We start from the raw sequence: 11,686 nt of genomic DNA, 5'->3' as shown, positions 1-11,686 counted from the left end.
TGTACCTCTTGACACCCTGAGTACAGTTCAAGAGACCCTGAAGAAACTCAGAAAAGTGACAACTGGAGGCTCTGGGAGAGAAGAGTGAAGTCACTCACATTTGTTTTTATTTACTTATTTTTTTTTTAGAGATGAGGTCTTGCTTTGTTGGCCAAGCTGGTCTCTTGAACTCCTGGCCTCAAATGATCCTCCCATCTTGGTCTCCCAAAGTGTTGAGATTACAGGTGTGAGCCATTCTCTCCGGCTTACTCTGCGTTTTACAGGATGGGATGTGTTGATGAAAGAAAGCCAAACTCTAAAATATTTGAAGAGGTTTATTCTGAGCCAAATGTGAGGACCATGACCTCACATGACAGAGACTCAGGAGGTTCGGGGAACATGTGCCCAAGGTGGCCGGGGTACAGCTCGATTTTATACCCTTTAGGGAGAAAGAAGTTACAGGATGAGATGGTTTGGATTTGTGTCCCCGCCCAGATCTCATGTGGAATTGGCGGAGGGGCCACGTGGGAGGTGATTGGATCGTGGGGTCAGACCTCCCCCTTGCTGTTCTGGTGATAGTGAGTGAGTTCTCAGGAGATCTGATGGTTTGAAAGTGTGACGTGTCCCCCTTCGCTATTTCTCCCTTGGGCTCAAGGGATCCACCTGCCTCGGCTTCCCAAAGTGTTGGGATTACAGGTGTGAGCCACTGCGCCCGGCTGAAGACTCTGTTGATCCTGATTTTTTCCCCATTGCTATTATGGCTGTTTTTCTCCTCTTCTTTTCTTGACTGGTCTCCCACAAGAATTATCCACATTTTTAAGGCTGGGCGTGGTGGCTCACACCTGTAATTCCAGCACTTTGGGAGGTTGAGGCAGGTGGATAATTTTAGGTCAGGAGTTTGAGACCAGCCTGGCCAACATGGTGAAACCTCATCTCTACAAAAAATAACAAATATTAGCCGGGCATGGTGCACAAGCCTGTAATCCCAGCTACTTGGGAGGCTGAAACACAAGAATTGCTTGAACCTGGGAGGCGGAGGTTGCAGTCAGCTGAGATTGCACCACTGCACTCCAGCCCTGGCAACAGAGTGAGACCCTGTCTCAAAAAAAAAAAAAAAAAAAAAAAAAAGCAAGAGTTATCAAAGTTTTTAGTTTATCCAAAGAAATAACTAACTTGTGTATCCTAATATGTACATAATTTCCATATTATTAATTTCTGATGTCACTTTTATTCGTTTCTTTCTTCCGTTTTTTTGGATTCCATTTGCTGTTCTTCCTGTAATTTCTTGTGATGAATGCTTCATTCATTAATGTTGAATCTTTTTTTTTTTTTGAGATGGAGTCTCTCTCTTGTCACCCAGGCTGGAGTGCAATGGCGCGATCTCGGCTCACTGCAACCTCCCGGGTTCCAGCTGCCCTCCCGTCCAGCTGCCCTCCCGGGTTCCAGCGATTCTCCTGTCTCAGCCTCCCAAGTAGCCGGGATCACAGGTGTGTGCCACTAGGCCCAGCTAATTTTTGTATTTTTAGTAGAGACAGGGTTTCACCCTGTTGGCCAGGCTGGTCTCCAACTCCTGACCTCCGGCCTTGGCCTCCCAAAGTGCTGGCATTACAGGCATGAGCCACCGTGCCTAGCCTGAATGTGTTTTTAATGTATGAAGGTAAGGGCCAGTGGGAAATCTTCCCTTTTAACCCCTGACATTTCCATGAAAACGCGACTCAGAAAAGGCAGATTAACTGGAGAAAAGGCGCAGAGATGTATTAATGTGTCCACAGGGGAAAACGCAGAGCGATATCCCGCACCCTGCAGCGGGGTTCAGACGCTTAGGGACCATCCTGGCCACACAGGCCATGAGGGGAGAAGAGGATTCTGAGGGCAGTGGAGCAGGGAGCGGAGATTAACTTGTAGATAGTTCTCTTTGGAATGTGAATGGGCCTGAGGGACAGACATTATTATCTTGTGAAAGGGTTTGTTCAGGTATGGTGACATTCTTTGTCTGGGGGTAGGGGGAAGAAAACACAATTGTTCTTGGTGAGTCCAGACTTTAGGCAGACAAAGGAACTTCAGAGAACTCCATCCTAACTTTGGGAGAGTCTGTGGGTTGTGGGGGAGGACAGAAAGTTCTTGAAGTTTCTTCAGCATGTCAAAGTGCCATATTTTGGGGTATTGGTTTCTGAGACCTAACAGTGGATACAGTTCTCTCAAAGCATGCAGTTATGGCTGGGCGTGGTGGCTCATGCCTGCAATCCCAGCACTTTGGGAGGCTGAGGAGGGCGGATCACCTGAGGTCAGGAGTTCGAGACCAACCATGGCCAACATGGTGAAACCCCGTCTCTACTAAATATACAAAAATTAGCCAGGTGTGGTAGTGCATGCCTGTTGTCCCAGCTACTTGGGAGGCTGAGACAGGAGAATCGCTGGAACCTGAAGGTAGAGGTTGCAGAGCCGAGATGGTGCCACTGCACTCTAGCCTGGACAACAAGAGCAAAACTCCGTCTCAAAAAAAAAATTAAAAACTAGCAAGATGTGGTGGTGCGTGCCTGTGGTCTCAGCTACTTAGGAGGTTGAGGCGGGAGGATCACTTGAGCCCAGGAGGTCAGGGCTGCAGTGAGCTTTGATTGGACCCACTGCATTCCTGTTGCATTCGGCAACAGAGCGAAATCCTATTTTCCTTTTGATTTCTTCTGTGACATATACGTTATTTATAACTATACTTGTTCATTTCCAAACAGAGGAGCATTTTCTTGTTTTGGGTAATAATTTCTAGTCTAATTTAACTGTAATTAGAGAAGCCACTCTGTATGATTTCAATTAATTTGTGGAGACTTTTTCATGGCTCATTATGTGATCCATAGTTGTAGATGTTTGTGTGTACTTGAAAAGTGTGTGTGTTCTGGAATTGCTGTGATCAGTTTTCTATGTCGGTTACCTTTCTTTTTTTAATTTTAAAATTTGTTTTATTTTTAAAAATTTTTAAATTGAAAAATTTTTTTTTTTTTGGCTTTGAGACGGGGTCTTGCTCTGTTGCCTAGGCTGGAGAGCAGTGGCGCGATCTCGGCTCACTGCAGCCTCTGCCTCCCGGGTTCAAGCAATTCTCCCACCTCAGCCTCCTGAGTAGCTGGGATTACAGGGGTGCGCCACCACACCCGGCTAATTTTTGTATTTTTAGTAGAGATGGGGTTTCACCATGTTGGCCAGGCTGGTCTCAAACTCCTGATCTCAGGTGATCCATCCACCTTGGCCTCCCTAAGTGCTGGGATTACAGGCGTGAGCCACTGCGCCCGGCTTTAAAATTTGCTCTAAAGAGACAGGGTTGCTGAGTGCAGTGGCTCATGCCTTTAATCCCAGCACTTTGGGAGGCCGAGGTGGGTGGATCACGAGGTCAAGAGATTGAGACCAGTCTGGCCAATATGGTGAAACCCCCATCTCTACTAAAAATGCAAAAATTAGCTTGGCATGGTGGCACGTGCCTATAATCCCAGCTACTCGGGAGGCTGAGGTAGGAGAATCACTTAAACCTGCAAGGCGGAGATTGCGGTGAGCCAAGATCGTGCTACTGCACTCCAGCCTGGTGACAGAACAAGACTCTGTCTCAAAAAAAAAGAAAAAAAAAAAAAGTCAGGGTCCTCCTATGTTGTCCTGTGCTCAAGCAGCCCTCCTACCTCTGCCTCCCAAAGTGCTGGGATTGCAGGTGTGAGCTGACATGATCAGCCTCCATTAATTTCTTTCGTTCATCCTGGTTTTTTTTTTTTTTTTTTTTTTTGAGATGTATCTTGCTCTGTTGCCCAGGCTGGAGTGCAGTGGCGCGACCTTGGCTCACCACAACCTCTGCCTCCTGGGTTCAAGCGATTCTCCTGCCTCAGTCTCCTGAGTAACTGGGACTACAGGCGCACACCACCATGCCTGGCTAAATCTTTTTTGTATTTTTAGTAGAGACGGGTTTTCACTATGTTGGCCACGCTGGTCTCAAACTCCTGATCTCATGATCCGCCCGCCTCGGCCTCCCAAAGTTCTGGGATTACAGGCATGAGCCACCGTGACCGGCCTATTTATCCTGTTTTAACTCTCTATCTTTGTTGATTTTTCATCTGCTATTACAAGGGGTGTTACAGGGCCTCAGAGTATGATTCTTTCTCTTTTTAGTTCTCTCAACTTTAGTTTTATTTATTTTCTGACCATTTAATGGATGTTAAAAAATTTAGAATTATCATCTTTGGGTTAACAGTATTTTTTGTCATTTTGAATTAAGCCTTTTAACTGCATGCTTTATGCCTTAAATTTTCTTTCGTCTGTTGGTAATCTATTTATAGAAGAGTTAAGGCCAGGCACGGTGGCTCATACCTGTAATCCCAGCACTTTGGGAGGCCGAGGCAGGCGGATCACCCGAGGTCAAGAGTTCAAGACCAGCCTGGCCAAGATGGTGAAACGCCGTCTCTACTAAAAATACAAAAATTAGCCAGGTGCGGTGGCAGGCGCCTGTAATCCCAGCTACTCGGGAGGCTGAGGCAGAAGAATCGCTTGAACGTGGGCGGCGGAGGTTGCAGTGAGCCGAGATTGTGCCACTGCACTCCAGCCTGGGCGACAGAGTGAGACTCCGTCTCAAAAAAAAAAAAAAAAAAGCCTGGGCAACAGAGTGAGAATGAGACCCTGTCTCCAAAATAAATAAATAAATACATAAATAAAGATTTGGAGGTATCTTGACCATGTTGGCCAGGCTGGTCTCGAACTCCTGACCTCAAGTTATCTGTCCACCTTGGCCTCCCAAAGTGCTGGGATTACAGGTGTGAGCCACCATACCTGACTCCTATACCATTATTTTTAAAGCAAATCTTATTCTCCAACTTAGAATGCTTTTTGTTCTTAAAATGTTGGGACATTTCCTTAAGTTCTGCGTCTGATTAATTAGTTAGCATTATTAACTCGTTCCCTCAACCACAGGCATCTTGTGACACACAATGCCCAACCCCTGGGAATGTCACCCAGCAGGTGTGGCTTTGTTTAGCTTTTATTCACGATGGGGTCACTCCAGTTTGGACGCCTCTTACAGTCTTCTACAGTTACTGAACCGAGCTGGGCTCTTCTCACCCAGGGCAGTAAAGTCAAACACTGATGTTGCAATTTGCAGCAGGGGAAAGATGATATTTATTGCACGGTACCAAGCAAGGAGAACGGACAGCTCACGCTTAAGACCCAAACTCCCCAGTGGCTTACAAGCTGGGGTTTTTAGGGGTATGGGTACATTTCAGGAAAGCAGAAGTTGCAGGCAAAATCATTAACCAATACATGGGGTGTCATGAGCAGTGCAAAGTTAGAGATAATCACATCCAAGCATGCCTGTGTCTTTCACAATGTCAGAATTTTATTGAGGCTATTTCAATCCCTAAAGCCACGAGCCACACGGCGTTCCCAAGGAGGCATGCTGCTTAGTGCTCCTTTCCCTCAGTAGTGAGAGCTGCGGTCACACGGGCTCAAGCCACTGCACATGTCAGCCAATATTGCACACGACAACGTAATAGTGTACTTAATCAGTATATACATGTTACAGGTTAACGTTCCACAACAAAGAAAGTAGCACTTAACATCCAGAGGAAACAGAGATAGGAGAAAGGGTTCACGAACCAGTCCAGGAGAGTGAAGAAGACACAAGAAGAAGACAGAAACCTCCTGGTCTGGGCCAGTCTGTGGATCTTGCAAGGATGTCTTCGAGGTGGTGGAGCCTCAGGCGGCAGATGGTGAGTTCTGCTGGGGCCTTTCCTTCTGCAATCACAGAGGCCTCCCGTGAGAAGTGACATCTGAAGAGTGCGCTTGCTTGCGTCCTCATCTGTTTGGATGCAGGCTTTATTTTTAACTTGTTTATTAAGCAAAACATCTTACCTTTGTTGGCCAAGTGCCCTGTAAGATATACAATGGAGTCTCTAAGATGGAGTTAGTTATGCCAAGGGTGCTGTGTGCATGGGGGCACACATTAGTGGCTCACAGCTGTGACTCCCTCCAGGCCCCTCAAGAAGAAATTCATGACAGAGAACACGGCCAGAGTTCAGTCCTCAGTTCCCCCTTATCTGGGTCTCTGTGATAGCAGTCGGCATTTTCCACCGGGTGGGGGTTTCTGAAAGACTTGAGAATGTATGTTATGCTTTAGTTTCTATAGGGAAGCAAACCACCTGTGGCTGTGGCCTGCTTGGGAGACCCGTGCTCCCGTCGCCTTCCTGGCAGGCTGCTCACTTACCTTTCAAGGCTGGCAAGGTGACTGGAATTTCCCTTGAAGGGATTCAAGAGTGTTCCTTGATTTCCAAGCTTGGGAGAGCCTGGCAGGCACCTAGGAGGGGTCCCTGCTCCATCTCACTATGTTGCCCATGTGGGTCTTGAACTCCTGGGCTCCAGCCGTCCTCCTGCCTCAGCCTTCTGAGTAGTGGGGACTACAGCTGTGGGCCACTGTGTAACCGCCCAGTGGGTTCGCCTCATTGTATTCACTCCTTTCCAGGTTTGTATTTATGGTATGAATTTTAATTTCACCACAAAAACTTAAATCTCCCACAAGACAGAACTTTTTTTTTTTTTTTGAGACGGAGTCTTGCTCTGTCGCCCAGGCTGGAATGCAATGGCGTGAGAGGCCTTCTGGGTTCAAGTGATTCTCCCATCTCAGCCTCCCTAGTAGCTGGGATTACAGGCATGTGCCACCACACCTTGCTAATTTTTTTTGTATTTTTAGTAGAGATGGAGTTTCACCATGTTGGTCAGGCTGGTCTTGAACTCCTGACCTCAGGTGATCCGCCCCCCTCGGCCTCCCAAAGTGCTGGGATTACAGACGTAAGCCACCGCGCCGGCCACTATTTTATCTTTTTTAATAGAATTGATGTTCATTTAGACTCACCACATTTCTACGAATCTGTGCTTCATCACTTGAGGTATCTCTGATTCTGAATGGGACCATTTTCCTTCTGGCTAAAGATCACTGTTTTTTTTTCTGAGATGTAGTCTCGCTCTGTTGCCCAGGCTGGCGTGCAGTGGCGAGATCTTGGCTCGCTGCAACCTCCGCCTCCTGGGTTCAAGTGGTTCTCCTGCTTCAGCCTCCCAAGTAGCTGGGATCACAGGTGCGTGCCACCACACCCGGCTAATTTTTGTATTTTTGGTAAAGATGGGGTTTCACCATGTTGGCCAGGCTGGTCTTCAACTCCTGACCTTAAGTGATTCACCCACCTCAGCCTCCCAAAGTGCTGGGATTACAGGCACAAGCCACTGTGCCCGGCCTAAAGATCACTTTTTTTTTTTTTTTTTGAGATGGAGTTTTGCTCTTGTTGCCCAGGCTGGAGCGCAATGGCACAATCTCAGCTCACCACAACCTCTGCCTCCTGGGTTCAAGCGATTCTCCTGCCTCAGCGTCCTGAGTAGCTGGGGCTACCCGCATGCGCCACCACGCCCGGCTAATTTTTTTGTATTTTTAGTAGAGACAGGTTTCTCCATGTTGGTCAGGCTGGTCTGGAACTCCTGGACTCAAGCGATCCTTCTGCCTAGGCCTCCCAAAGTGCTGGGATTACAGGTGAGAGCCACCATGCACCATGTCCAGCCTAAAGATCACTTTTCTTTTCTTTTTCTTTTTTTTGTTTGAGACAGAGTCTGTCTCTGTCGCCAGGCTGGAGTGCAGTGGCATGATCTTGGCTCACTGCAACTTCTGCCTCCGGGTTCAAGCAATTCCCTACCTCAGCCTCCCGAGTAGCCGGGATTACAGGTGCCCACCACCACACTCAGCTAATTTTAGTAGAGACGGGGTTTCACCGTCTTGGCAAGGCTGGTCTTGAACTCCTGACCTTGTGATCCACCCGCCTTGGCCTCCCAAAGTGCTGGAATTACAGGCATGAGCCACCGTGCCCGAAAAGACTTTTTAAAAGACCTTCTTGGCCGGTGCTGTGGCTCACACCTGTAGTCCCAGCATTCCTTGATCAAGGGAGTTCAAGACCAGCTGGGGCAACAGGGAGAAACCCCGCCTCTATGAAAATACAAAAATTAGCTGGGCATGGTGGTGCACACCTGTCATCCTAGCTACTTCGGGGACAGAGGTGGGAGGATCGCTTGAGCCTGGGTCAAGGCTACAATAAGCTGTGTTCCCGCCACTGCACTCCAAAGTGAGATCCTGTCTAAAATAAATAAATAAATAAATAAATTAAAAAAAGATTTTCTTTTAGTGCAAGTATATTGGGGACAACCTTTCTGTCTGACAGTCTTTCTTCCATTGCCTGTGGAACTCAGGGCTGTCATCTCTCCTGGCTTCCACAGTTGTCCTTCTCACTACCGACCCCTGGTGGCTGATCTTTTTCTCTGGCTGTTGACAGGACTTTTTTCTTTGGTCTTCTGCATTTTCACGGGTGCATGTGGGGCTATTTATTTGTTGATGCTGCCTGGAATTTTCTGGGCTGCTTGATCTGTGGCTGGACGCACTTTATCAGTTCTGGAAATGTCTCAGCTATTAGGTCTTCAATATTGCTTCTGCGCTATTCGCTCAGCTATTTGGGGAACTGTCTCCGTGTATCTGCTATCTTTGTATATTTCTTAATTTTTCTACTATTGAGTATGGATCAGGCACTGAGGGGAAGTCCGTCAGAAGGATTTTCCACAGATCCCTCTCCTCCCCAGGTGGGAAGGCAGATCCCAAGCTTTCCTCCATGGAGGAGGCTGGTTCTCCCAAAGGCATCTGGGTGCTTTCTGGAGAGGGAATGGTGGCTGTGTGTTTTTAAATTGCGGACCAGGCCGGGTGCAGAGGCCCACGCTTACAATTCCAGCATTTTGGGAGGCTGAGGCAAGGGGATCACTTGAGCCCAAGAGTTCAAGATCAGCCTGGGCAACATAGTGAGATCCCATCTCTATAAATTTTTTTTTTTTAAATAGCTGGGGGTAGTGGCAGGTGCCTGTGGTCCCAGCTACTTGGAAGATGAGGCAGGAGGATCGCTTGAGCCTGGAAGGACTGCAGACTCGGCGCGGCCTGTTCTTTTCTGCTTGTCTCCTGATTGTCTCTGTGTCCCCACTGGCTTCAAGGTTCCCTGAAGGGGGCGGTCCTGGGGTGGGACCAAGGGGGTCGGGTGGGGCTTCCTGTGCCAGACACCCTCCTCTTTCACCCACAGGGCAGAAGTTCAGCTACACTAGCAAGGGCTGTGGCCCTCCCTGTGTGTCCAGATTATGAACCTCACCCATCCTGTGGTCCCTGGAGGGTCTTACCCCATAGAAACTGAGAATGGACTGATTGATTGAAGACTGAGAAGCTGGACATGACCTGCTGTGAAAAGAGCCTCTGTAACAAGGGCGTCAAGGGGGCAGAGGCTGTGGATGGGGGAGGTGGCACAGGGTCCTGCCTGGGCCTTACCTCCTGAGGTCCCCACAGGGGCTGAGTGGTGGGGGGCGGGTGAGGGGCAGTGCCAGGACTTGCTGCCCATCCTCCGGAGGCTCATCCGTGGGCAGATGCTGGGAAGTGGGGGCTGGATGGGGCTGCAGAGAGGAGGGCGCCCAGTTCCAGGCCAGTGTGGAGACTGGGAAATCCCTGGTGGGAGGCTCAGGTTCAGAGCCCTGAGATGAGCCTCCCTTCCTCTCCCTCCCCTCCCCTGCAGGTTGAGGTTGGGAGGGAGGTTGAGGCTGCAATGTGCTGTGATTGTACCACTGCACTCTAGCCTGGGTGACAGAGGGAGACCCTATCTCAAAAAACATAACAGGCCAGGTGTGGTGGCTCATGCCTGTAATCCCAGCACTTTGGGAAGCTGAGGCAGGCAAATCACTTGAAGTCAGGAGTTTGAGACCAGCCTAACATGGTGAAACCCCATCTCTACTAAAAATAAAAAAATTAGCCGGGCATGGTGGCGGGCGCCTGTAATCCCAGCTACTCGGGAGAATCGCTGGAACCCGGGAGGCGGAGGTTGCAGTGAGCCGAGATCGCGCCACTGCACTCCAGACTGGGCGACAGAGCAAGACTCCGTCTCAAAAACAAAATAAAACACAAAATAACCGCCCTGCCCATAAACTGGGGACCATGTACATAGAGGGTGTAAAATCAGTCGAGTGGGACACAATCAATACTCTTTCAAATAAAGTAGAAGATATCAGAGTTGATCACAGGAAGTGAGGATAACTTGCTGTGTGAAAGCCGTGCTTTCATTATCCATAGATACACAGAGTGCACACCTCTTGGGGATGCTCGTGCTCTGACTGGCATGTAACATGCACTGCTTATAGATGTCAGATTAAAACATATATTTTAAGATTCAAAAATACAAGTCAGTATCCCTAGCAATATTCTAACTTCTCCATTGCTTGGTGTTATGATGTCTGGCTCAGCCATCATCAGGCCCTGGGACCTGAGCAGTGTGGCCGCAGGGCCAGCAGAGTGACCCGTGGACCATGGGCCCCCCTGGCGCTGCCCCTTCAGGTCTGGCCTGTGCTCTGGTGTGCTGCCAGGCGGGGTGGTCAGGCCTCTTGGGTCCAAGCCTTGCCCACAGCTGCCCCGAGTCACTGGGGGGGTCTTCTGGGCCTGACGCCTCCAGCTCCGCCCTTGTCCTCCCTGCTCTCAGGAGCCACCCCCACCTCACCTGGCCCATCCTCTCAGATGCCATGGACTCTCCAAGCAGAGACCCCTGAGGGCACAGAGTGGATTCTGCTTTTCGGAAGGGACCACCCACCGGAGAGGCGACCCATCCTTATGCAGGTCTGCTGCCTTTATCTGTCTTCATCAAGGGCTCTGTCCCCACAGCCCAGGCAGCCCTCTCTTCCTTCTGCCCAGCACCTGGTTGGGGAGGGGGGGTGGAGTCTGCAGTCAGTCACCCCTGGCCCATTTCCTGTGTCTTCTGATTCTCCGTGAAGAACAAATTCGGGTGTGGGTGTGATGGGGGTGGGCAGGGGGGAGGGACAGGGGTGGTTCCGGTTGTGGCCAGGACAGAGTTCTGGACCCCTCCTCCCCTGCCCCAAGGGAGCCCCCATGTCGTCCCACCCCGTTACAGGGGCCTCTGCTCCCTGCACAGAAAACAAGGGGTGCCTGGCTTGGGGTCTCAGTGTCAGAGCTTGTTGCCCTGCTGGCCCCTCCCAGGCTCTGTCTGCACGGGGGCCTGCCAGTGGTGGGCTCAGCCAGAGACCCTCATCCTGAGCGGGAAGGGCCTGGTCCTGGGTGTGACCTGAGGTCTCACGGCTGCTTTTCTCTCCTGCTTCAGACACCAACACTGTGATGTACCAGGAAACTGAAACTGAAACTCAAGGCCCTAGTCCAGGACCCTCCTCTCTATTGAGTCAGAACTTCTCCTAAGGCGTCCTCCCACCCCAGGGGACAACCTCTCCCTCCTCTCCTCACCGCAGCCCCTCCTCTCTTCACCGCAGCCCCTCCTCTCCTCACCGCAGCCCCTCCTCCCTCCGGATCTGTTCTGCTCACACCCTGAGCTCTGGGAGGCCCCAGGCAGAGAAGGGGTGGGGTGAGAGGGGTCTTGCTCAAGGTCATGTCTGCCTTCCAGAGCAGCCAGGTCAGGAAGGAAGGGTTTCTACCCCTCAATTCCCATTCTGTGAGATGATGGGATGAGGCCATCAGCTGTGTGCACTTTACACAAACAATCCGGGTTCCTCATCACAAACCAGAAGTGGGGCAGAGGTTCCCAGGCTCGGGGGTGCAAGGCCTCCCCTAGCTCTTCCCAGGCTCAGAGCCTCTGTGCCACACGTGCCCTCAATGCACCCATACCCAAGACCATGAAGG

General features: G+C 50.1%; 1 long non-coding RNA gene across 1 annotated transcript, besides 2 other annotated features; it reads right to left on the bottom strand.

Annotated features, from left to right (window-relative positions):
• Positions 1,731-2,376: an enhancer, noted in NCBI's record as "OCT4-NANOG-H3K27ac hESC enhancer chr8:144116775-144117420 (GRCh37/hg19 assembly coordinates)". NCBI's record gives its function as "activates a minimal SCP1, AML or CMV promoter by ChIP-STARR-seq in primed H9 embryonic stem cells {active_cell/tissue: H9 hESC(primed)}" and the evidence as "EXISTENCE:reporter gene assay evidence [ECO:0000049][PMID:30033119]".
• On the bottom strand, positions 5,314-7,001 carry LOC124902034 (uncharacterized). The gene is made up of 2 exons (XR_007061135.1): positions 6,848-7,001; positions 5,314-6,090 (listed from the first exon to the last, which is right to left on the bottom strand). It is a non-coding gene; the product is annotated as an uncharacterized LOC124902034 (long non-coding RNA).
• Positions 10,654-11,416: an enhancer, noted in NCBI's record as "H3K27ac-H3K4me1 hESC enhancer chr8:144107735-144108497 (GRCh37/hg19 assembly coordinates)". NCBI's record gives its function as "activates a minimal SCP1, AML or CMV promoter by ChIP-STARR-seq in naive H9 embryonic stem cells {active_cell/tissue: H9 hESC(naive)}" and the evidence as "EXISTENCE:reporter gene assay evidence [ECO:0000049][PMID:30033119]".

The sequence above is a fragment of the Homo sapiens genome, chromosome 8, assembly GCF_000001405.40.
Source record: "Homo sapiens chromosome 8, GRCh38.p14 Primary Assembly".
NCBI classification, from domain to species: domain Eukaryota; kingdom Metazoa; phylum Chordata; class Mammalia; order Primates; family Hominidae; genus Homo; species Homo sapiens.
This window is presented reverse-complemented; position numbering and strand designations above follow the sequence as displayed.